The 25,684-nt window shown below is 46.8% G+C and overlaps 1 protein-coding gene, 1 long non-coding RNA gene and 1 pseudogene across 6 annotated transcripts in view, besides 2 other annotated features; 1 reads left to right on the top strand and 2 right to left on the bottom strand.

Moving 5' to 3' along the window:
• The window catches only part of TBCE (tubulin folding cofactor E), an 85,017-nt gene extending 71,249 nt beyond the window's left edge, over positions 1-13,768 (bottom strand). For 3 of the 4 annotated variants that reach the window (NM_001287801.2, NM_003193.5, NM_001287802.2), the window contains exons 1-2: positions 13,691-13,768; positions 1,046-1,176 (exon numbers count right to left, since the gene is read on the bottom strand). In NM_001287801.2, coding sequence (NP_001274730.1) covers positions 1,046-1,145 — 100 coding nt within the window. In that variant the 5' untranslated portion in view covers positions 1,146-1,176; positions 13,691-13,768. Of the gene's footprint in view, positions 1-1,045; positions 1,177-13,642 lie in introns of all 4 variants that reach the window. The other variant, NM_001079515.3, reaches the window with a different exon arrangement.
• Positions 13,348-14,061: an enhancer, noted in NCBI's record as "NANOG-H3K27ac-H3K4me1 hESC enhancer chr1:235530449-235531162 (GRCh37/hg19 assembly coordinates)". NCBI's record gives its function as "activates a minimal SCP1, AML or CMV promoter by ChIP-STARR-seq in naive H9 embryonic stem cells {active_cell/tissue: H9 hESC(naive)}" and the evidence as "EXISTENCE:reporter gene assay evidence [ECO:0000049][PMID:30033119]".
• Positions 13,469-13,808: an enhancer, noted in NCBI's record as "active region_2801". NCBI's record gives its function as "activates an Ori minimal core promoter by ATAC-STARR-seq in GM12878 lymphoblastoid cells {active_cell/tissue: GM12878}" and the evidence as "EXISTENCE:reporter gene assay evidence [ECO:0000049][PMID:35858748]".
• LOC124904559 (uncharacterized) lies at positions 13,775-14,842 on the top strand. 2 transcript variants are annotated; one of them, XR_007066957.1, is made up of 2 exons: positions 13,775-13,985; positions 14,572-14,842. It is a non-coding gene; the product is annotated as an uncharacterized LOC124904559 (long non-coding RNA). The 2 variants fall into 2 exon arrangements; XR_007066956.1 differs by having other exon boundaries at positions 13,907-13,985; positions 14,484-14,842.
• LOC100418822 (atrophin 1 pseudogene) lies at positions 18,631-20,830 on the bottom strand (annotated as a pseudogene).

The following is a 25,684-nucleotide window of genomic DNA, read 5'->3' as shown; positions in this document are numbered from 1 at the left end:
TGGGTAATGTAAAAATATGGATAAATATTCTAATTCTGGGCACATTGCAATCAGCTAGTAAACCCATATCAGCTTGGTTCCAGCAGTTGCCCAGTTCATAGAAAGCCTCCTTATTGGCCAGGCACGGTGGCTCACACCTGTAATCCCAGCACTTTGGGAGGCCGAGGCAGGCAGAACACCTCAGGAGTTCGAGACCAGCCTGACCAACATGGAGAAACCCTGTCTCCCCTAAAAATTCAAAATTAGTCGGGTGTGGTGGCACATGCCTGAAATCCCAGCTACTCGAGAGACTGAGGCAGGAGAATCGCTTGAACCCAGGAGGCAGAGGTTGCGGTGAGCCAACATCGCACCACTACACTCCAGCCTGAATAACAAGAGCGAAACTCTGTCTCAAAATACACAGAAAACAGTCAAATTTTTGTTGACTAAGACTTATGAGTAAGTCTACTACATTATTATTTACTCTAAAAACTAGAAATTAACATCCAAAAATGGGGAACAATTAAACAAACTATATATTATACTAAATGTAATAATTAAGAAATACGCAAAATCAAAAAAAGAAGAAATATTGCAAAATAATGCTGTAGAAACATAGGTAAATTTATACCAAAAAATAAGTTTAAAAAAAAGGTAACAAAAATTGTAATGTGTATCAGTTTAAACTATATTAGATACCTACACACGTGGATTAATGACAAAAGAAATTTCAAAAAAATTACTTGAGTTGAGGTTTATGAGGTTTCAAGACTTTTAGCTGTTTATAGTTTCCTCAGAAGATATTTTAAGGTTGATTTTATATAAGATAGCAACACTAAATAATTAAATGGCATATAATTAAACAAAATCATAGATACCACAGGATACTGTCACTCAGATAAAACTGGATACAGGAGGCACCTATAAATTAGTTGTTAATTTCGTCAAAATTTGTGGTATAAAGTGCTACTGAGAAGCTTACACAGAAACAGCTGCAAAATACACACACACACACACACACACACACACACACACACACACACACACACACACAATAATTGCTTACCTGCCACGGGAGGGACAACACCAGCAAAACGTACTGTTGCATGTTCTCCATTAACTTCAACTCTTCGACCAATGACATCCGCTGTCAAAGTGTCACTCATTATAATATATCCAGAATCCAAAATATGAGATCTAGGAAGAAAAATACAACACTGATAAGAACTTAATACAATTCCTTTAAAGGAATTTTTTTTTTTTTTTTTGAGGCACAGTCTTGCTCTGTCGCCCAGGCTGGAGTGCAGTGGCGCAATCTCGGCTCACTGCAACCCCCACCTTCCAGGCTCAAGGGTTCTTGTGCCTCAGCCACCAGAGTAACCGGGTCCACAGATGTGCTTCACCACACCCAGCCAATTTTTGTATTTTCAGTAGAGAAGGGGTTTTGCTACATTGCCCAGGCTGGTCTCCAACTCCTGAGCTCCAGCAATCCACCAACCTCAGTCTCCCAAAGTGGTAAAATTACAGGTGTGAGCCACCGCGCCTGGCCTATAAGAGAAGGTTCAAGTTTGGGAGAGAAGTCAGTATACTTAAAGTGCCTATAGAGGGTGATGACGGATGTGGGTCTCTAGCTCAAACGATACATTTGCGCTAGAAATGTGTTTTTTTTGTTCTTGTTGTTGTTTTTTAAGATGGTGTCTCACTCTGTTGCCCAGGCTGGAGTGCTGTGGCACGATCTCGGCTCACTGCAACCTCCACCTCCCTGGTTCAAGCAATTCCCCTGCCTCAGCCTCCCAAGTAGCTGGGATTACAGCACCCACCACCATGCTGTTTAATTGTTTTGTATTTTTAGTATAGACGGGGTTTCACCATGTTGGCCAGACTGGTCTCAAACTTCTGATCTCAGGTGATCCACCCTCCTCTGCCTCCCAAAGTGCTGGGATTACAGGCATGAGCCACTGCGCCCGGCCTAGAAACATGTTTTTAGGGGTTGTCAGCACAGAGCTTATAACTGATAGCATGAAAGTAGATGAGAATGAAAGGGTATCAGCTAGAAAGAAAAGGGGATCAATGACAGAATCCTGCAAAAACATAATAGTTAAGAAAGAAGAAATCCCTAAGAAGTCGGAGAAAGAAAAAACAGAAAAGAAAAAAGAAGAGCAGCTACCTGATGCCTTGGAATCCAAGGGACAGAGTTTAAAGCAGGAATAATCAAGCAACAGTATCAGATGCTGCAGAGAGAGCCTGTGAGACTAGGGCTTAAAAATCCGTGCCCCTTTTGCAAGCACAAATATGGTTAATTTCCAAACCTTCATCTTTGTCTAAATAAAACTCACTTTCTTTTTTTCTTTTCTTGAGACAGAGTCTCGCTCTGTTGCCCAGGCTGGAGTGCAGTGGCACGATCTCTGCTAACTGCAACCTCTGCCTGCTGGGTTCAAGCAATTCTCCTGCCACAGCCTCCCTAGTAACTGGGATTACAGGCACACGCCACCACGCACACGCCACCATACCCAGCTAATTTTTGAATTTTTAGTAGAGATGGTGTTTCACCATGTTGGCCAGGCTGGTCTTGAACTCCTGACCTCAAGTGATCCACTCACCTCAGTCTCCCAAAATGCTGGAATTACAAGCATCAGCCACCGCGGCCGGCCTAAATAAAACTCACTTTCTGTTTTAAAAAGCTAGCAGTGTTGGCTGGGCACGGTTGCTCATGCCTGTAATCTCAGCGCTTTGGGAGGCCAAGGCAGGCAGATCACCTGAGGCCAGGAATTCGAGACCAGCCTGGGCAACATAGTGAAACTTATCTCTACCAAAAAAAAATACAAAAATTAGCCAGGCATTGTGGCACACGCCTGTAGTCCCAGCTACTTGGGAAGCTGAAGTGGGAGGATCATGTGAGCCCAGAAGACTGAGGCTGCAGTAAGCCAAGATCATGCCACTCTGCTCCAGCCTAGGCAACAGAGCTAGAGCCTGTCTCAAAACAAACAAACAAAAAAACACAAATAAAAGATAACAGTGTTGAAGTACAAGGATTTTTAAACGACAAGTTACATAACTATTGAACAAAGTATTTTTCTATTTTAATATTATCATATATAATATGTGTACAAAACAAAAGAAAAAACATATGCTGTTACATGCCATCTGGGGTTAGAATACATTACTGACTACCCACAAACTCCATTGGTATATAGATATCTGAGGCCTTTGTTATTATTACCTCTCCACCTTTATGGGTTTTTTTTATTTTAAGAACAGGTAGATGGAAGGGGAGTGGTGGCTCATGTCTGTAATCCCAGCACTTTGAGAGGCCGAGGCGGGTGGATCACAAGGTCAGGAGTTCGAGACCAGCCTGACCACCATGGTGAAACCCCGTCTCTACTAAAAATACAAAAACTAGCCAGGCGTGGTGGCGCGATGCCTGTAATCCCAGCTACTCAGGAGGCTGAGGCAGGAGAATCGCTTGAACCCGGGAGGCAGAGGTTGCAATGAGCCGAGATCGAGCCATTGTACTTCTGCCTGGGTGACAGAGCAAGACCCCATCTCAAAAAAAAAAAAAGAATAGGTAGACATTTCCTCTGTTACTGGAGTTGTCTGTTACATTAGACCTGCTATTTCCATATTACAGAATAATCTAAGCATTTCAATCTCACATTATATGATTTTAAGTTTATTAAGTTTCTGCATAAGGTCCTCTCAATCAGCTCCTCAAATATTTTGTAAAAACAATAACATTAGGCTGGGCGCGGTGGCTCACGCCTGCAATCCCAGCATTTTGGGAGGCCAAGGCAGGCAGATCACAAGGTCAAGAGATCGATACCATCCCAGCCAACAGGGTAAAACCCTGTCTCTACTAAAAATACAAAAAAATTAGTTGGGCATGTAGTGCGCGCCTGTAGTCCCAGCTACTTGGCCATCTGAGGCAGGAGAATCACTTGAATGCGGGAGGCAGAGGTTGCAGTGAGCCAAGATCGTGCCACTGCACTCCAGCCTGGCGACAGAGCAAAATTCCATCTCACAAAAAACAAAACAAAAAAAATCATTTTTCCCAATTGTTGTGAAAAGAATCCTACTTTCAAAATGGAGCTGAATTTTGTCTATTTAAATAAAGGAGGACAGGGCCATTGGGAAGGGGGCCAGGATCCAGATCTAAACATGCCCAGTAGTGTTGAAAAGCAAAAGAGAAATAATCTCCGAGCCCAAAGTTGGTGAGAAAAGTCAAAGCAGTTTAGATGATTTTTTTTTTTTAATTGAGACGGAGTCTCACTCTGTCGCTCAGGCTGGTGCAATCTCAGCTCACTGCAACCTCCATCTCCCGGGTTCAAGCGATTCTTCCGCCTCACCCTCCTGAGTAACTGGGATTACAGGCGGCCGCCACCAGGCCCAGCTAATTTTTGTATTTTTAGTAGAGACGGGATTTCACCATGTGGGCCAGGCTGGTCTCAAACTCCTGACCTCAAGTGATCTTCCCACCTCGGCCTCCAAGTGCTGGGATTACAGGTGTGAGCCACTGTGCCGGCCAGTTTAGATGATGTGATGGCAGGATCAACATACGGGTCAGACCAGGCATGGGGAATTTATGTTTTAGTAAGCTAAGAGGTCTGGCCAGAGACACAGCACTACCCAAAAACCTGTGCTCAGATTCAGAGCTCTAGTCCCTAAGAAGAGGGACGAATAAAATGACTGCAGAACTCCACTCCTACAAGAAATTAAAGTACTAGGCCAAATCTTGGCTCCATGAACTAGACTGTATAGGGATTATCTAAATCCAGAAACTCACAAGGCCCCATAATCAGTCTGAGGCTCTTTCCAGCTGGGGCTCAGCTTAAGGGTACTACTACATCACCCTGCAGATCAGGCTAACAGTGAGAATGGCTTGGTGAGAAGAAGGGGGCAGCCATCAATGGGAAGTAAAACCAGAGAGTGTAATAGCAGGAATGAGGATTGAAGACACTAGGAAGCCATTCTCATTATTAATCTAACATCTGTAGGTAACTCATGAATTCCTTCACATGCTTGATCCTACTTAATCTCCAGTAACAATTTTTTTTTTCCATTCCTACCTGTATGCTGTGCCCACAGACATGACCAATGAGATCATTAGGTATAAGGTCTAAGGTCAGTAATTAACAGTCTCTGTGTCAAGTCAGGTGTTTTTGTTTGTTTGTTTTGAGAAGAGTCTCGCTCTGTTACCCAGGTTGGAGTGCAATGGCGTGATCTCAGCTCTGCAACCTCCACCGCCCGGGTTCAAGCGATTCTCCTGCCTCAGCCTCCAGAGTAGCTGGGATTATAGGCATGTGCCACCAAGCCCGGCTAATTTTGTATTTTTTTTTTCAATAGAGATGGGGTTTCACCTTATTGGTCAGGCTGGTCTCGAACTCCTGACCTCAGGTGATTCACCCATCTCGGCCTCCCAAAGTGCTGGGATTACAGGTGTGAACCTCTGCGCCCAGCCTCAAGTCAGTATTTTTGATGATCCTGTCTAGTCTCTGAACGTTTCTAATAATGTCTTTCTTGATACCATGATCTTCCGTGAAGACCTAGAAACTGGATCCATGTCTTGGTGACCTATGCCTTAGTTCCAAAGCCTTTACCCTCTTCTTCTAGCTAGTAACCAGTGGGTCCCTGTTTCCTGATGTTAGACCTACTTGATGCTGTTACTGGCCCACTCTGCACCCTTATTGCCTGTTGCTAGGACAACCACTTTGATCACTCCCCCACCCCCAGCCCCATTTTAGTATCCAGTCAAAATGACCTGCAGTCAGCTGCTGCCTAGTTAAGTTCTCTGTAATGGCCTGCACTGGGCCCTCTCCTAATCACCTGAATGTGAGTGGCATGTTGCTCTTAGTTAGGTCTATCTGGGTGCTGACTAAGGCTTGGTTCAGATGGAATGACTTTTTAAAATACACACACTTGCTAACTAATGAAGATAGCCCACTTAAATGTTGGAGTGACTCTTGTTATTCTTCTTTAAAAAGATGAAATCTACATCTCTAGGCCAGGCACAGTGGCTCATGCCTGTAATCCCAGCACTTTGGGAGGACAAGGCAGGCGGATCATGAGGTCAGGAGATTGAGACCATCCTGGCTAACACAGCAAAACCCCATCTCTACTAAAAATACAAAAAATTAGCCGGGCGTGGTGGTGGGCGCCTGTAGTCCCAGCTACTCGGGAGGCTGAGGCAGGAGAATGGTGTGAACCCAGGAGGCGGAGCTTGCAGTGAGCCGAGATCGCACCACTGCACTCCAGCCTGGGCAACAGAGTGAGACTCCATCTCAAAAAAAAAAAAAAAAAAGAAAAAAAAAGAAATCTACATCTCTATCATTTTCACCTAGTAATTTTCTACTACTGCCCTATGTAGCTACAGAGAATCAATATATTCCCTTTCCCAGACAACATTTAAATGTGGAAGGCCAGCTGGGCACAGTAGCTCACACCTGTAATCCCAGCACTTCGGGAGGACAAGGTGGGTGACTCACCTGAGGTCAGGAGTTCGAGACCAGCCTGGCCAACATGGTGAAACCCCGTCTCTACTAAAAATACAAAAATTAGCCAGGTGTGGTGGCGGATACCTGTAATCCCAGCTCCTAGGGAGGCTGAGGCAGGAGAATCACTTGAATCCAGGAGGCGGAGGTTGCAGTGAGCCCAGATTGCACCACTGCACTTCAGCCTGGGCGACAGAGGGAGATTCAGTCTCAAAAAATAAATAAATAAATATGGAAGGCCATTTGTTACCATTTCTGCTTTCCCTGCTTCCTGTCTTCATCTCCCAAACCTCTCTACCAGGGTAAACATTTCCAGCTCCTTAAACCCTCCTTATAGCATTCCAGTTTTCCTCTGTAACTGATTTACTGATTCCATGCTTAAATTGCGATATCTAGAACTGAACGCCACATTCCAGATGTGGCCTGACCTGCACGTGGGGTACAATGGTCTGAAAAGCATTCATTTAACAGTGTAGGCTAGGCAAAGTGGCTCACGCCTGTAATCCCAGTACTTTGGGAGGCCGAGGAGGGTGGATTATCTGAGGTCAGGAGTTCGAGGCCAGCCTGGCCAACATGGTGAAACCTGTCTCTACTAAAAATACAAAAATTAGCCAGGCATGGTGGCAAGCACCCGTAATCCCAGCTACTCTGGAGGCTTGAACCCAAGAGGCGGAGGCTGCAGTCAGCCAAGGTATGCCATTGCATTCCAGCCTGGGCAACAAAGAAAGACTCAGTCTCAAAAAAATAAATAAAATTTTAAAATTTAAAAAATAAAAATACAAGTCTGGGTGCGGTGGCTCACGTCTGTAATCCCAGCACTTTGGGAGGCCGAGGCGGGAGGATCACGAGGTCAGGAGATCGAGACCATCCTGGCTAACACGGTGAAACACCGTCTCTACTAAAAATACAAAAAAATTAGCCAGGCGTGGTGGCGGGCGCTTGTAGTCCCAGCTACTCGGGAGGCTGAGGCAGGAGAATGGCGTGAACCCGGGAGGCGGAGCTTGCAGTGAGCCGAGATCGCGCCACCGCACTTCAGCCTGGGCGACAGAGCGAGACTCCGTCTCAAAAATAAAATAAAATAAAATAAAAATAAAAATAAATAAAAATAAAAATACAAAAATTAGCCGGGCATGGTGGTGAGTGCCTGTAATCCCACCTACTTGGGAGACTGAGGCACAAGAATTGCTTGAACCCTGGAGGCGGAGGTTGCAGTGAGCCAAGATCGTGCCATTGCACTCCAGACTGGGCCACAGAGTGAGACTGCGTCTCAAAGAAAAAAAAAAATGTAGACGTTACATTCTTTTTTTTCTGTCCCTTTCATGGGAAAGACTGTTGCTTACTATTAAGGTTGCAATGAAAGAAATTCCAAAGCCATTTCTGATTTACTACCATCTTCCGATCATAAAATTTAAATGTTTAAATTTTACTACAATTGTATTACCCTAAAAATGAGTTTTTTACTAGTTTTAAGTGCCCTTTCAAAATTTTCATTAACATGTAAGCAGAATTTTACTACCACTGAGACATATAATTTGTTCTACTTCTTTTATTAACTTCCTTTAAAATAAAGTAGGGCCTCACTATGTTATCCAGGCTGGTCTTTAACTCCTGGGCTCAAGCAATCCTCCTGAGGATTCCCAAAGTGCTGGGATTACAGGTTTGAGCTACCTCAACTGGCCATATTAACATTTGTCCATAAACATTTTTCTATACAGCCACAGAGTCAACACATTAATCATCTCAATATCCAAGTATGATACCACAATTTACTTAATAATTTCTCTCTTTTTTTTTTTTTTTTTTTTTTTAGACGGAGTCTCACTCTGTCGCCCAGGCTGGAGTGCAGTGGTGCAATCTCAGCTCACTGCAAGCTCCGCCTCCCGGGTTCACGCCATTCTCCTGCCTCAGCCTCCCCAGTAGCTGGGACTACAGGCACCCACCACCACGCCCGGCTAATTTTTTGTATTTTTAGTAGAGACGTGGTTTCACCATGTTAGCCAGGATGGTCTCGATCTCCTGACCTCGAGATCCGCCCGCCTCGGCCTCCCAAAGTGCTGGAATTACAGACGTGAGCCACCGTGCCCAGCCTCTCTCTCTCTCTCTTTTCTATTGGTAGAGAAGGGATCTCTCTATGCTGCCCAGGTTGGTCTCAAACTGCTGGCCTCAAGAGATTCTCCCGTCTCAGCCTTCCAAAGTGCTAGGATTATAGGTGTGAACCACTGCACCCAGCCAATCATTTCTCTAATGCTGTTTATTTACAACTCCAAAGAAAACAGCTAAAAACAGCTTTGATTTTTAAAATATTACCTTATGAAGTATTTCCTTGGGAAAAATTCTTAAGATAGATAAATATGTTTAAGGTTCTACAAAGCCAGCCAGGAGCGGTGGCTCACGCCTGTAATCCCAACACTTTGGGAGGCCAAGGCAGGAGGATCATCTGAAGTCAGGAGTTCCAGAGCAGCCTTGCCACTATGGTGAAATCCCGTTGCAACTAAAAATACAAAAATTAGCCTGGCGAGGTGGAGTGCGTCTGTAATCCCAGCTAAATATGCACAGCAAAATTAAAAATTAAAATATAAAAATCAGCTGGGTGTGGTGGTGCACGCCTATAGGCCAATGTATTTGGGAGGCTTAGGTTGGAGGATGACCTGAGCCCAGGAGTTCGAGGCTGCAGTGAGCCCTGATCACACCACTGTACTCCAGCCTGGGCAACAGAGGGAGACCCTATTGTACAAAAAAATGAAAAAATGAAAAAAAGGGCAGGCACAGTGGCTCATGCCTGTAATCCCAGCACTTCGGGAGGCCAAGGCAGGCAGATCACCTGAGGTCAGGAGTTCGAGACCAGCCCGGCCAACATGGTGAAACCCCCACCTCTACTAAAAAAACAAAAATTAGCTGGGTATGCTGGCGGGTCCCTGTAATCCCAGCTACTTGGGAGGCTGAGGCAGGAGAATCACTTGAATCCGGGAAGTGGAGGTTGTAGTGAGCCGAGATCGTGCCATTGCACTCCAGCCTGGGTGACAAGAGCAAAACTCTGTCTCAGAAAAAAAGGTGGGGCCGGGTGCTGTAGCTCACGCCTGTAATCCTAACACTTTGGGAGGCAGAGGTGGGTGGATCAACTGAGGTTGGGAGTTTGAGACAAGCCTAACCAATATGATGAAACCCCATCTCTAATAAAAATACAAAAATTAGCCAGGCTATGGTGGCACACGCGTATAATCCCAGCTACTCAGAGGCTGAGGTGGGAGAATCACTTGAACCCGGGAGGTAGAGCTTGCAGTGAGCCAAGATCGTGTCAGTGCACTACAGCCTGGGTGACAGAGGGAGACCCTGTCTCAAAAAAAAAAAAAAAGGGAAAAAAAAAAAGACAAGAGTGGCCGGGGGCGGTGGCTCACGCCTGTAATCCCAGCAGTTTGAGAGGCTGAGGCAGGTGGATCATTTGAGGTCAGAAGTTCAAGACCAGCCTGACCAACATGGAGAAACCCCATCTCTACTAAAAATACAAAATTAGTCAGGTATGGTGGCGCATGCCTGTAATCCCAGCTACTGAGGAGGCTGAGGTGGCAGAATTGCTTGAAGCCAGGAGGCGGAGGTTGCGGTGAGCCAAGATCATGCAATTGCACTCTAGCCTGGGCAGCAAGAGCAACCACTCTGTCTCAAAAAAAAAAAAAAAAAAAAAAAAAAAAAAAAAAGCCAGGCGTGATAGCTCACACCTGTAATCCCAGCACTTTGGGAAGCTGAGGCGGGCGGATCATGAGGTCAGGAGTTCAAGACCAACCTGACCAACATGGTGAAACCCCATTTCTACTAAAAATACAAAAAAGAGCTGGGCGTGGTGGCGTGCGCCTGTAATCCCAGCTACTCAGGAGACTGAGGCAGGAGAATCGCTTGAACCCGGGAGGCGGAGGTTGCAGTGAGCCGACATCACACAATTGCACTCCAGCCTGAGCGACAGAGCAAGACTCCATCTCAAAAAAAAAAAAAAGAAAAGACAAGGAGGAAAAAAGCATAAAAATATGAAGTGTAGAAGATGGTGCAAAAACCCCAAATTCATTCAATCAACAATTATATTATGGAGTGTCTGCTAAAAGCCAGATACTATTTTAGGCAATTGGAATAAAACAGTAATGGATTTTACAGGGAAGTACAATAAGAGATCTTCCCAAAAAAAAAAAAAAAATGCCGGGTGCAGTGGCTCACGCCTGTAATCCCAGCACTTTGGGAGGCTGAGGCGGGTGAATCACAAGGTCAGCAGTTCAAGACCAACCTGGCCAAGATGGTGAAACCCCATCTCTACTAAAAATACAAAAATTAGCCAGGCATGGTGGCATGCGCCTGTAATCACAGCTAGTTGGGAGGCTGAGGCAGAGAATTGCTTGAACCCAGGAGGCAGAGGTTGCAGTGAGCCGAGAACGTACCACTGCACTCCAGCCTGGGCAACAGAGCAAGAATCCGTCTCAGAAAAAAAAAAAAAAAAAGAATACAGCAGTAAACAAAACAGAAAAATACCTGCCCTCATAAACCTTCTATGCCAGTGAGAGAAAACATAATAAACCAGATAAATGACTCTATCACATGGCATGTCATATGATGATAAGCACAAGGATAACGAGTGCAATGGAAATGTTAAAGATGGCAGTGGCTTGTCAGAGAAGGCCTTACTGAGAAGGTAAAGGTCCCCAAAATATGAGAGAGGTAAAGAACTGAGCCATGTGGACATATGAGGGAAAGGAATAGCAAGTGCAAATATCCTGAGGCTAGGATGCGCTTGAGGAGACCATACAGTAGAGCAAACAGGAGATGAGAACGACATGAGATCAGCAGTGAAGCAGGGCTAGGTCACATAGGACCTTCGATGAATAATCCACTCTGAAGACTTCGGCTTTTTTTTTTTTTTTGAGACAGAGTTTTGCCCTTGTTGCCCAGACTGGAGTGCAATGGCACAATCTCGGCTCACTGCAACCTCCGCGCCTGCCCCCAGGTTCAAGCAATTCTCCTGCCTCAGCCTCCCTAATAGCTGGGATTGCAGACACACACCACCACACCTGGGTAATTTTTTGTGTTTTTTTTTAGTAGAGACGGGGTTTCGCCACTTTGGCCAGGCTGGTCTTGAACACTTGACCTCAGGTGATCCACCAGTCTTGGCCTCCCAAAGTGCCAGGATTACAGGCTTGAGCCACTGCGCCCAGCCAGTTTTTGTTTTTTTTGTTTTTGTTGTTTTTTTTGAGACAGAGTCTTGCTCTATCGCCAGGCTGGAGTGCAGTGGCACGATCTCGGCTCACTGCATCCTCTGTCTCCCGGGTTCAAGCGATTCTTCTGCCTCAGCCTCCTGAGTAGCTGAGATTACAGGCACGCACCACCACGCCCGGCTAATTTTTGTATTTTTAGTAGAGACGGGGTTTCACCATGTTGGCCAGGATGGTCTCGACCTCTTGACCTCGTGATCCACCCACCTCGGCCTCCCAAAGTGCTGGGATTACAGGCATGAGCCACCACGCCCGGCCGACTTTGGCTTTCACTCCAGGTGAAATGTGTAGTCCTTGGAGGATTTTTGAGAGGAAAGACATAAATCTGATTTTTTTTTAAAGGATCAACCGAGATACTGTGATGCAAACAGACTAAAAGAGGAAAGAGCAGAAACTACTGCAGTAATTCAAGTACGAGACAACGTAACTTGAACAAGTGAAGGTGATAACAAGAGCCTGGGAGTGTGGACAGATTTTAAAGGTGGAGAGTCCATAGGATTTGCTGATATATATGGAAGAGATTAATCAGGGATGATACCAAAGATTTTCATCTAGACAAATATTTCAGTAGTGACAATGAATGTAAATCCAATAAACCTGCTAGTCAAAAGGCAGACTGGGCTGGGCACGGTGGCTCACACCTGTAGCCCCAGCACTTTGGGAGGCTGAAGCAGGTGGATCACCTGAAGTCAGGCCTTCAAAACCAGTCTGGCCAACATGGCGAAACCCCATCTCTACTACAAATACAAAAAAAAAAAAATTAGCTGGGCATGGTGGCACACACCTGTCATCCCAACTACTCGGGAGGCTGAGGTGGGAGATATGCTTGAACCTGGGAGGCGTGGTTGCAGTGAGCTGAGATTGGGCCACTGCACACCAGCCTTGGGCGACAGAGCAAGACTCCATATCAAAAAAAAAAAAAAAAAAAAAAAGCAGGCTGTCCACTTAGATTAAAAAAAAAACCCAGAGATATGCTGTTTACAACAGTATATAAAATATGAGCATACAGAAAAGTTAAAACTTAAGAATATGAAAAACGTTTGAAGCAAGTATCAAAACACAGCGGCCGTGGCTAAATTAATGCCAGAGAAAAGAAAAGTCTTCTCTCTTCATCTCTACCTCCACTAACTTTCTCTAACAGTTTGGCAATTTGTTAACCCCGTCTTCCTGCCAGGACTGCTTCTCTGAGGATAAGGCTGTCACACCATCATTTGGATCCACCCACAACTTAGAACAGTCCCCATTTGGTAGTAAACACCAAGTAAAAATAGTTACTTTAGGCCGGGCGCGGTGGCTCACGCCTGTAATCCCAGCAGTTTGGGAGGCCGAGGCGGGTGGATCATCTGAGATCAGGAGTTCGAGAGCAGCCTGGCCAACATGGAGAAACCCTGTCTCTACTAAAAATACAAAAATTAGCCGAGCGTGGTGGCACGCGCCTGTAATCCCAGCTACTCGGGAGGCTGAGGCAGCAGAATCGCTTGAACCCAGGAGGCGGAGGTTGCAGTAAGCCGAGATCAGAGATCCGCGCCACTGCAGTCCAGCCTGGGCGACAGAGCAAGACTGTCTCAAAAGAACAAACAGTTACTTTAAGTGCTCTCCACCTATTTAACGTTATTTCTCTGTCATCACCAATGTTAACTGATTCGGAAGGACGAGGCTGTTCCTCTAAGGTGACACCTTGTAAAAGTCGTTGGTCGCCTGTACCATTTTCACCTCTTCCAAAGTGACATGCCAATTCTCTGAGAGAAGCTTAAAATGCTAGAGATCACGTGCGGCTACTCCTAAATAAGGCCTTCCAGGAGGCGCAGGGTGGCCCCAACCCAGCCGGCTGGACCGCCTCCCAGCGCACGGAGCAGGCAACGCCCGGCTCTGGCAATCTGGGAAGATTCCAGGAAAGGAAGAAAAGGCCAAGAGCACTGCAGGGTGACGCACCGGCCAGGAATGCTCGTTCCGAAAGCTCCCCGAACCTCTGAAGCTCACCTGCCCGCGGAGACTCCAGGTGTTCCCAGCAGCAGCCCCTCCAGCCAACTGCCCAGCAGCGAAGCTTGAGGCTCTGGCCGGAAGTGCTGTAGGAAGTCCCGCCTCCACCGGAGTGAGGTACGGCTGCTGGAGCATAGACGAGAATGTCAGCGACAGTATTGGAGGCCAGAGGAGTGGTCAGCCCACCCAAGCCCCGCCTCTGGGCGGGGGCCCAAGCGATTTCCGAGTGCTGAAACCTGGGATGACAGAGCAGCCCAGGGAAAGCGCGTGTTCCAGTTTACTAGATACCACAGAAGTGAGTTACAAATCCTGTAAGAGGTTCAGTTCCATGCGTATTGAGAGTCTACCACGTAGGCAGCATGCGGTGGTCAAAGAGAAGAATATAGTGTTGATACCGCCAAAACTAAAAAAAAAAAAAAAATTACCTAGTTAAAGCATAAGGCAGAATGAAAGTAAATGCAGTGATAGAAAAAATAATAGAAAAAGCAACTATCCTAGACATGTTAATTTCTGTTGAAACCGCCTTTGCAAAATTTTGACAGTAAGAGAAATCTGACATGGTTTACTCCTATCTTGATTCTAGCCTCACAGACTGGCTGTCTTTGCTCATTCCTGGGCACAGGACAAACTAACTTTGGGAGAAATTTAGTTTATAGTTTAAATGATAATAACCCTTCCCCAAAACTGCCCTTTTAAAACTAAATGAAAGGCCACCAAGTTAGGAGAATGAGAGGGTCCTGAATTCTTCTAAGTTGTAATTGTAGTTAAATGATTACCACCCATTATTCCACAGGTCACAAATTCGCATCTTCCCCAATCATTCCTGCAGATAACATCACTGTTGTAGAACCTAAGATTGGCCTTTTGAGATGTCTTTTCAGGTTTTTGCATTTCTGACAAGTGGATGGCCCCACCCTGACTCATCAACCTGGGGATCCACGAACCAACTCAGTGCAAGAGGACAGCTTCTACTTCTTATGATTTCACCTCTGACCCAACCAGTCAGCACTCCCCATTCCCTGGCCCCGTACCTGTCAAACTATCTGAAAAACCCCCTAACCTCTGAGCCTTTGGTGAGATGGATTTGAGTAACAACTCTGTCTCCCACGTGGCATGGCCAGCCTCGCGTCAATTAAACTTTCTTTACTGCAATGCCATGGTTTCTGTCAATTAATTTTGTTTGTGCAGCAGGCAGAAAGAACCCATTGGTGGATACCACAGACTCCACAACAAGAGCAGTTTGGGTAGAGTGAGTGTTAGCATTCCAAAACCAGACTGAAGTGAGGTGAAGTGGAAAGGAAATTGAGGGAGCAAAGCCAAATGACTCTTCCAAGAAGTGACCTTCTAATTGTCATATTAAATGGACACAAACAGTCAGTATCCTGCTGGATGTCTCTACTGTTTTATACTTTGATAGTTCACTCCTTGAAACTAGAAACTAGATATTACAGTGATTGTTTTTTCTTTGGAAGAGGGGATTAAAAACCACATTGGAAATCTGATAAAAGCTATCTACCTACACACAAATTTTGCGTATGATTTCAAGGACTGATTAATCCTTTGAAGCCCATGAATAGGCCTCAAAGGAATCCATGGATCCCAAACTAAGACTCTCCTCAGCAGGGCACGGTGGCTCACACCTATAATCCCAGCATTTTGGGAGGCCGAGGCAAGCAGATCACTTGAGCTCAAGAGTTCAAAACTAGCCTGGGCAATGTGGCGAAACCCTGTCTCTAAAAAAACACAAAAATTAGCCAGGCGTGGTGGTAGGTGCCTGTAGTCCCAGCTACTCAGGACGTTGAGTTGGGAGAATCTCTTGAGCAGGGGAGACAGAGGTTGCAGTGAGCTGAGATCTCAACACTGCACTCCAACCTGGGCAATAGAGTGAGACCCTGTTTCAAAAAAGAAAAAAAGGCCAGGCGTGGTGGCTCATGCCTGTAATCCGAGTACTTTGGGAAGCTGAGGCGGGTGGATCACAAGGTCAAGAAATTGAGACCATCCTGGCCAACAGGGTGAAGCCCTGTCTCTACTAAAAATACAAAAATTAGCTGGGCATGGTGCTGTGTGCCTGTAATCACAGCTACTTGGGAGGCTAAGGCAGGAGAATCATTTGAACCTGGGAGGCGGAGGTTGCAGTGAGCCGAGATCGCGCCATGCACTCCAGCCTGGTGACACAACTAGACTACGTCTCAAAAAAAAAAAATTAGCTGGGTGGGGTGTGGTGGCACATGCCTGTAAAACCAGCTACTCAAGAGGCTAAGGCAGAAATTGCTTGAACCTAGGAGGCAGAGGCTACAGTAAGCCGAGATCGTGCTGCTTCACTCCAGCCTGGGGGACGGAGCAAGACTCCATCTGAAAATGAATACATAAATAAAGCCCTCACTTTTCCATTAGTTGGTGAGAAAAGAAAAAATAGGCCAGGCGCGGTGGCTGATGCCTGTAATCCCAACACTTTGGGAGGCCGAGGCGGGCGGATCACCAGGTCAGGAGTTCAAGACCAGCTTGGCCAATATGGTGAAACCTCGTCTCTACTAAAAATACAAAAATTAGCCAGGCATGGTGGTGCGTGCCTGTAGTCCCAACTACTTGGGAGGGTGAGCCGGGAGAATTGCTTGAACCTAGGAGGTGGAGGTTGCAGTGAGACCAGATATCACCACTACACTCCAGCCTGGGCTACAGAGTGAGACTCTATCTCAAAAAATAAAATAAAATAAAACAATGTGTAGCCAATCAATAACTTATTTTATTTTAATGTAAATTATTATTGGTAAACAACTTAGGAACTACCTCTTCTTTTTTCCTTTAAAAACCCACTTGTAGAGGCTGGGTACAGTGGCTCACGCCTGTAATCCCAGCACTTTGGAAGGCCGAGGTGGGCAGATCATGAGGTCAGGAGTTTGAGACCAGCCTGACCAACATGGTTAAATCCCGTCTTTACTAAAAATACAAAACTTAGCCGAGTGTGGTGGCATGCCCTTGTAATCCGAGCTACTTGGGAGGCTGAGGCAGGAGAATTGCTGGTACCTGGGAGGCGGAGGTTGCAGTGAGCTGAGATTACACCACTGCACTGCAGCCTAGGCAACAGAGCGAGACTCCGTCTCATAAATAAATAAATAAATAAATAAATAAATAAATAAATAAATAAAACAAAACCCATTTGCAGGCTATGCGTTGTGGCTCATGCCTTTACTCCCAGCACTTTGGGAGGCAGGGGTGGGTGGATCACTTGAGGTCAGGAGTTCAAGACCAGCCTGGCCAGCATGGTGAAACTCCATCTGTACTAAAAAAAAATACAAAAAAGAGCCGGGCATCGTGGCATGCACATTTAGTCCCAGCTACTGGGGAGGCTGAGGCAGGAGAATTGCTTGAACCTGGGAGGCAGGTGTTGCAGTGACCTGAGCTGAGATCAAGCCACTGCACTCCAGCCTGAGCAAAAAAGCAAGACTCTGTCTCTAAAAAATAAAATACAATAAAAAGTTTAAAAAGCACTGACTTAAGAATTGCACAGGGAGGCCAATTTGAGCTGGCCTCCTGTCTCTTTGTTGGCTGACTCACAATAAAGCTTTTTTTTTTTTCTTCTCAAAAACCTAGTGCCATAGCATTTGACTTCTGTACCACCGGGCAGTGAGCTCCTTTTGCTTGGTAACAGTCACTGGTATCTTTAACTCTTGGGGGGCATGATTTCATAAATATCCATGAGCCCATTCAATCCAGAATATATTTAAGAACCCTCAAAACTGAACAATAAGAAAAAGAAAACCCCAATAGAAAAATGGACAAAAAGATTTGAGTGAAGGCCAGGAATAGTGGCTCATGATGTAATCCCAGCACTTTGTGAGGCCAAGGCGGGTGGATCACTTGAGCCAGGAGGTTGAGACCAGCCTGGCCAACGTAGTGAAACCCATCTCTACTAAAAATACAAAAATTAGCTGGGTGTGGTGGCATGGACCTGTAATCCCAGCTACTCAGGAGGCTGAGGTGGGAGGATTGCTTGAACCCAGGAGGCAGAGGCTGCAGTGAGCCGAGATCGCACCACTGCAATCCAGCTGGGGCAACAGAGCCAGACCTTGTCTCAAAAAAAATTTTTTTGACTCAAAATTTCACCAAAAGGCCAGGCACGGTGGCTCATGCCTGTAATCTCCACACTTCGGGAGGTTCACTTGAGCCCAGGAGTTGGAGACCAGCCTGGGCAACATAGAGACCCCTTCTCTAGAAAAAAAATATATATTTTTTATATTTTTATATTTTATATTATAAAAATATATATTTATATATATTCTCTACAAAAATATATATAAATATATATAAATATATATATTCTCTACAAAAAAAATATACAAAAAATATAAATAAAAAAATTAGCCAGTTGCTCCTACCTGTGCCTGTCATCCCAGCTCCAGGCATGTAGGCTGAGGTGGGAGGATCGCTTGAGCCCAGGAGTTCACGGTTGCAGTGAGCCATGATCACACTACTGCTCTCCAGCCTTCCAGCCTGGGTGACAGAGCAAGACCTTGTCTCAATAAAAAATAAGATAAAAAACACCACATAGGCTGGGCATGGTGGCTCACGCCTGTAATCCCAGCACTTTGGAGGCTGAGGTGGGTGGATCACCTGAGGTCAGGAGTTCAAGACCAGCCTGATCAACATGGAGAAACCCTGTCTCTACTAAAAATACAAAGTTAGCCAGGTGTGGTGGCACATGCCTGTAATCCTAGCTACTTGGGAGGCTGAGGCAGCAGAATCGCTTGAACCCAGGAGGCGGAGATTGCAGTGGGCCAAGATCGCGCCATTGCACTCCAGCCTGGGCAACAAGAGCGAAACCATCTCAAAAAAACAACAACAACAACAAAAACCACCACATAAACAGAAAGCCCCTCTTGTGCCACTCTCTGTCGCCCCTTCATAACCCCCTTCCAGGCTCACCCTCCCGTACCCACTCACCTGGCTGACTGACTGGCATGGCTGGAAAGGACTACCACCACCTTAGGAGGAGTTGGAGGCTGTAGGCTGGGGGCACTGGACTCTTAGTGGTCTCATACTCCTCAGCAAGCTCCTGTTTGATCTGTCTGGTGCTTAGGGGTAACCCTGAGGCAGGGGCCACAGGTGGTGGTGGCAGAGATGACACCTGAGGGCTCACAAGTGACAGGTCCCACAGTGGGCAAGACTGGTTTGACCCGATGGGGTCCCCTTCAGATGGAGAGAGGCACCCTGGCTTGTATCTGTGTGGCCTGTCTTCTAGTCCCTGGGGATGCAGCTTTCTCTCCCTATGGCGTGGGCCCAGGCGAGTAGGCTGTTTTGTAGTCTGCTGGTGAGGAAGCCACAATAGCAATGGCAGTGGAAAGGGCAGCCAAGGAGGTGGTGACCGTAGGCACCAGCAGGAAGAGGTAGGGGCCCTGGGAGGTGTGTGAAAGTGGGTAGGACCCTTGAGAGGAGGAAAAAAAGAGAAGAAGAGACCGTGGGAGGTAGGGGGCAATTGGGGCCTGCTTGGCTGTAGGACATCTGGCTGTGAGATGGGGCCAGGTATGCTGGCCCTGATGGATAGAGCCAAAGAGACCCCAGGGAGGAACACATGGCATAAGAGTGTGCATTGGCCGGGCGCTGTGGCTCACGCCTGTAATCCCAGCACTTTGGTAGGCCGAGGCAGGTGGATCACCTGAGGTCAGGAGTTCATGACCAGCCTGGCCAACATGGTGAAACCCTGTCTTTACTAAAAATACAAAAATTAGCCACTTATGGTGGTGAGCGCCTGTAATCCCAGGAACTTGGGAGGCTGAGGCAGAAGAATCACTTGAACCTAGGAGGCAGAGGTTGCAGTGAGCCAAGATAGTGCCACTACTGCACTCCAACCTGGGTGACAAAAGTGAAACTCCGTCTCAAAAAAAAAAAAAAAAAAAAGAGTGTGCATGGTATGGGGCTATGTGGCTACAGCTCTCCAGGTGGTGGGGAAATGCTCCAGGTGGAGGGGGCCTGGAGCTTCCACAGTGTTGCTGCTGGTGGTGATGGTGATGTGTTGGGGGTGATGTGGGCAGTGGATTGGCCTCCAGGAGAAGGAGGAAGCCTAAGAGGCCGCCACAGGAGGTTGTGGGGGACCCTGGCTCTACACAGCCTGGGCTGGAAGAGAAGATTGAGTATACTTGGGGGCCTGATTGGGGACAGAGAGGCTTGTTGCAAGAGGGAAGGAGTGGGGATACCTGGGCAATGCCTGGGAAGCAGGGTACTGGGAGGCAGAGGAGGAGGAGGAAGAACTGGAAGAGGAGGCTGCCGCAGAGCTGCTACTAGAGCATGAGTAAAGAAACCTCAGTGGGGCGGAAGAAGAGGAAGCAGGGAGCCGGGGCAGAGGGTGGGCTGTGGGAGCTAGAGTCAAGTCGTTCTCTGGGCCAGGAGGAAACCCTCCCATTCCCTGCCCCGTGGCACAGGGAGAGGACAGATGCTCTCTCCCTGTGCCACAGGGCAGGGGCCCCGGGCCTGGAGGAGAAGCTAATGTGCTGGGGTTTTTTGTTTGTTTTGCTTTCTGTGAGACAGATTCTAGATTTGTATCTCAGGCTGGAGTGCGGTGGCACTATCTTGGCTCACTGCAGCCTCTGCCTCCTGAGTTCAAGCGATTCTCCTGCCTCAGCCTCCCGAGTAGCTGGGGCTACGAATGCGCACCACCACGCCCGACTATTTTTATATTTTTAGTAGAGACGGGGTTTCACCATGTTGGCCAGGCTGGTCTCGAACTGCTGACCTCAAGTGATCCTCCTGTGTTGTCCTCCCAAACTGCTGGGACTACAGTCATGAGCCACCATGCCCAGCTGCTGATGCATTGTTGAGGGGGCTTGGGCAGATGGGGGAGGCAGGTTTGGTGCCACATGGGGGAAGGTGGTTGGTGGTGAAGCAGAGGATAGGTTCCCATCACCCATTGGAGTGTTAGACATCTTTGTAGGGGGAGCACCACCAACCCGAGCTTGATACTGAAATGGGGGTAGTGCATGCGGGGTGCTGCTTATTCCTACCAGGGGCCCCAGTGGATGAGGCAGCCCCTAACCCCTTGGGACCCACTGGGGGTCCAGATACAACTCCCCCACCAGCCACCTCACCAGAGTAGAGCTGTGAGTGAGGGTGAGGGACCCCAGGAGGGGTCAAGGCTGGTCTTGAACTTCTGGGCTCAAGCGATCCTCCCGCTTCGGCCTCCCAAAGTGTTAGGATTACAGGCATGAGCCACCGTACCCGGCCAGTAATTTTACTTTTGATAAACCCCAAACAGGAAACAATTCAAATGGCTATCAAAAGATGAATGAATAAATTGTGATATATTCATAAATGGAATTCTCCTCCACAATAAAAGGGAGTGAATGGAGGATCTATGCAACAACATGTATGAATCTCAAAATAATTATGCTAAGTATAAAAAAAAAACAAATAGCCAGGCGTGGTGGCTCACACCTGTAATTCCAGCACTTTGGGAGGCCCAGGCAGGCCGATCACTTGAGGTCAGGAGTTCGAGACCAGCCTGGCCAATATGGTGAAACCCCATCTCTACTAAAAATACAAAAATCAGCTGGGCATGGTGGCTCTCACCTGTAGTCCCAGCTACTCGGGAGGCTGGGGCAGGAGAATCCCTTGAACCCAGGAGGTGGAGGTTGCAGTGAGCCAAGACTGCACCATTGTACTCCAGCCTGGGCGTCACAGCGAGACTCTGTCTCAAAAAAAAAAAAAAAAAAATGCAAAACACTGAGAGGTTACTTTGGATGGGTTGTGAAACTGAAAGGGGTGAATGGGATGACTCTAAATAATGGTCCAGGACCCATCCCCTCCGTGTTAGGCTGTTCTTGTGTTGCTATAAAGAAATACTTGGCCAGGCATGGTGGCTCACGCCTGTCATCCCAGCACTTTGAGAGGCCGAGGCAGGCTGATCACCTGACGTCAGGAGTTCGACACCAGCCTGGCTAACATGGCGAAACCCCGTCTCTACTAAAAACACAAAAATTAGCCGGGCATGGTGGCGCACATCTGTAGTCCCAGCTACTTGAGAGGCTGAGGCAGGAGAATGGCTTGAACCAGGGAGGCGGAGGTTGCAGTGAGCCGAGATCATGCCACTGCACTCCAGCCTAGGTGATTGAGCAAGACTTCATCTCAAAAAAATAAAAAACACAAATAAACAAATAAATACTTGAGGCTGGGTAATTTCTAAAGAAAAGAGATTTAATTTGTTCACGGTTCTGGACAGTACAAGAAGTGTGGTGCTGGCATATCCTTCTGGTGAGGGCCTCAGCAAGCTTACAATCGTGGTGGAAGGCGAAGGGGGAGCAGGTGTGTCACATGGCAAAAGCCAGAGCAAGAGAAAGCTAGTGGGGAGGTGCCACATACTTTTAAATAACTGGATCTCCCATGAACTAACTGAGGGAGAACTAACTTATCACCAAGAGGATGGTGTCAAACTATTAATGAGTTTAATATGATAGAATCACCCCTATGATAGAATCACCTCCCACACTAGGCTCTACCTTCAACACTGGAGATTACATTTCAACATGAGATTTTGGGGGAAAAAATATCCAAACCCTATCACCCTTCATTTTTGCATCTAACGTCTGGAAGCTGTGGCTTCCTCCACCTTATCTCAGCTCCCCCCAAAATTTTCTGAACTCTTACCCATTTGCTGTAACTTCCTTGATCATAAATACAAGAGTCCAATCCAATACAACCGAAACCTCTTCTGATTTTTTTTTTTTTTTCAGATGGAGTCTCACTTTGTCACCCAGGCTGGAGTGAAGTGGCATGATCTCGGCTCACTGCAACCTCCACCTCCCGGGTTCAAGCAATTCTACTCCTCAGCTTCCCGTGTAGCTGGGATTACAGGCACGCACCAGCACACCCAGCTAATTTTTGTATTTTTAGTAGAGATGGGATTTCGCCGTGTTGGCCAGGCTGGTTTTGAACTCCTGACAGGTGATCTACCTGCCTCAGCCTCCCAAAGTGGTGGGATTACAGGCGTGAGCCACCACACCCGGCCTTTTTTTTTTTTTTTTGAGACAGGGTCTCACTCCATTGCCCAGGCTGTAGTGAAGTGGCATGATCTTAGTTCACTGCAACCTCTGCCTCCCAGGTTCAAGCCATTCTCCAGCTTCAGCCTCCCTAGTAGCTGGGACTACGGGCATGTTCCACCATGCCTAATTTTTTTTTTTTTGGTAGAGACGGGATTTCACCATGTTGCCCAGTCTGGTCTCGAACTCCTGAGCTCAAAGTGATCGCTAGCCTGGTCCTCCCAAAGGGCTGGGATTGCAGGCGTGAGCCATCTCACCCAGCCTTCCGCATTCTATTGTTTCATCTTTTTGTACTGTACATTAGATCTACAGAGTACTCTGCAGGCAGTTAAGTTATAAAATGGTGAGGAAATAGCTCCAATCTCCATATCTCTTTCTTTGGCATGACTGAAGTCAGAGTTGGGGTGGGGTTAGACTGGACTCGCCCCCATCAATTTCAGCATATTTTCATCCAATGTACAGGCAGCTGCCCCTACCTTTTGATACCCTCTTCCTTACCAATGCCAAAATGAAACAAAACAAAACAATACCCACTTGAGACAGACTTTAAGGTGGCCCTGTGACCCCTGCCTCCGGGTATTCAGCCCCGTATAATTCCCTAATCCCCTTTCCTTGAGTGTGGGCAGGGTCTGTGACTTGCTTTTAACCAATAGACAATGATAAAAATAATGGGATGTCATTCCTATGATTACATTTTTATAAGACTGTCTTGTTAGCTGCCTGACACTAGAGCCTGCCTGTCTCTCTGTGTGGGTCTCTGTCTTTCTTCCTGGCTTCGAGGAAGCAATCTACTGTGAATCCTACAGCTGAAAGCAAATGAATTCTACCAAGCCGAGGGAGCCTGAAATTGGATCCTTCCCTGCTAGAGCCTCTGAGGAGAACCCAGACCTGGCTGACACCTGGATTGCAGCCTGTGACTCTGAAGCAGAGAACTCAATTCTGCCTCTCTCTTCCATTTTGAAGGGCAGTCTTGCAGTCTCTGCATTTTAGTCTCTCTTCTTCTTCTTCTTTTTTTCTTTTTGTGAGACAGAGTCTTGCTCTGTCGCACAGGCAAGAGTGCAGTGGCACAATTTTGGCTCACTGCAACCTCGGCTTCCCAGGTTCCAGCGATTCTCCCGCCTCAGCCTCCCTAGTAGCTGGGATTACAGGTGTGCACCGCCACGCCTGGCTACTTCTTGCATTTTTAGTAGAGGTTTTGCCATGTTGGCCAGGCTGGTTTCAAACTCCTGACCTCAAGTGATCTGCCTGCCTAAGCCTCTCAAAGTGCTGGTTTTACAAGCATAAGCCACCATGCCTGGCCAAGAAATTTCCTGAAATTTCTTACTCACTAACATGGATCATAATTAGCCCTTCCCATTCTCAATTATATTTTGCTGTATTAACCTTTTTATTCTTTTACTTTCCTTTTAGTGTTCTCTGAAAAGGGAGAAAAAAATAACACACGCTCAGTCCAGCATCCTGAAGAGAATGTATATTCTTCCTCTACCTCCATCTTGCAAGACTAGCAGAAAATTTGATCTCAGTCAGTTTTGGGTCCTCTTTAATTCTCATAGTTACATCAGCTTGTAGGAGATTTTAGAGGTGGCCAGGGGCATCTCATCTTTGGGTCATAGAAGCTATTGGCAGGTTTATTTATTTAATTATTTATTTTTGAGACAGTCTCGCTCTGTTGCCCGGGCAGGAGTGCAGTGGTACGATCTTGGCTCACTGCAACCTTCACCTCCTGGGTTCAAGCCATTCTTGTGCCTCAGCCTCCTGAATAGCTGGGATTACAGGTGTGTGCCACCACGCTTGGCTAACTTTTTTTTTTTTTTTTTGAGATGGAGTCTCGCTCCGTAGCCCAGGCTGGGGTGCAGTGGCTCGATCTTGGCTCACTGTAACCTCCACCTCCTGGGTTCAAGTAATTCCCCTGCCTCAGCCTCCCAAATAGCTGGGACTACAGGCATGCACCACCACACCTGACTAATTTTTGTATTTTTAGTAGAGGTGGGGTTTCACCATGTTGGCCAGGCTGGTCTCAAACTCCTGACCTCAAGTGGTTCACCCACCTCAGCCTCTCAAAGTGCTAGAATTACAGGCATGAGCTACTGTGCCCAGCCCCTGGCTAACTTTTGTATTTTTAGTAGAGACAGGGTTTTACCATGTCACCATGTTGGCCAGGCTAGTCTTGAACTCTTTGTTTGTCTGTTTTTTTCTTTTATTTATTTATTTATTTATCATTATTATTATTTTTTGGTCTCAAACTCCTGACCTCAGGTGATCTACCCGCCTCGGCCTCCCAAAATGCTGGGATTACAAGTGTGAGCCAGCAGATCCAACCTTTTTTTTTTTTTTTTTTTTTTCTGGAGCCAGTGTCTTGCCCTGTTGCCCAGGCTGGAATGCAGTGTTGTAATTTTGGCTCACTGCAACGTCAACCTCCTGGGCTCAAGCAATCTTTCCACCTCAGCCTCCCGAGTAGCTGGGACTATAGGCACTTGCCATCACGCTTGGCTAATTTTTAAATTTTTTTTGTAGAGACAAGGTCTCACTATATTGCCCAGGGTGGTCTCCATCTCCTGACCTCAAGCAATCTTCCCGCTTTGGCCTTCAAGTAGCTGGGACCACAGGTGTGCATCATTATGCCTGGCTTTTATTTATTTATTTAGAGACAAGGTCTCACTATGTTGCCCGGTCTGGTCTTGAACTCCTGGGCTCAAGCTATCCTTCCCTCTTTGGCATCCCAAAGTGCTGGAATTACCAGCATGGGAGCCATCTTGCCTTGGCAAAGCTGTTTCAAAAAAAAAAAGAAAACCTGGGCGCAGGGTCTCACGCCTGTATTCCCAGCACTTTCGGAGGCTGAGGCCGGTGGATCACCTGAGGTCAGGAGTTCGAGACCAGCCTGATAACATGGAGAAACCCTGTCTCTACTAAAAATACAAAAAATTAGCCGGGCATGGTGGCACATGCCTGTAATCCCAGCTACTCAGGA

This window comes from Homo sapiens, chromosome 1 (assembly GCF_000001405.40).
Source record: "Homo sapiens chromosome 1, GRCh38.p14 Primary Assembly".
Taxonomy (NCBI): domain Eukaryota; kingdom Metazoa; phylum Chordata; class Mammalia; order Primates; family Hominidae; genus Homo; species Homo sapiens.
Note: the sequence above shows the minus strand (reverse complement) of the source record. Positions and strands in the feature narration are given on the sequence as shown.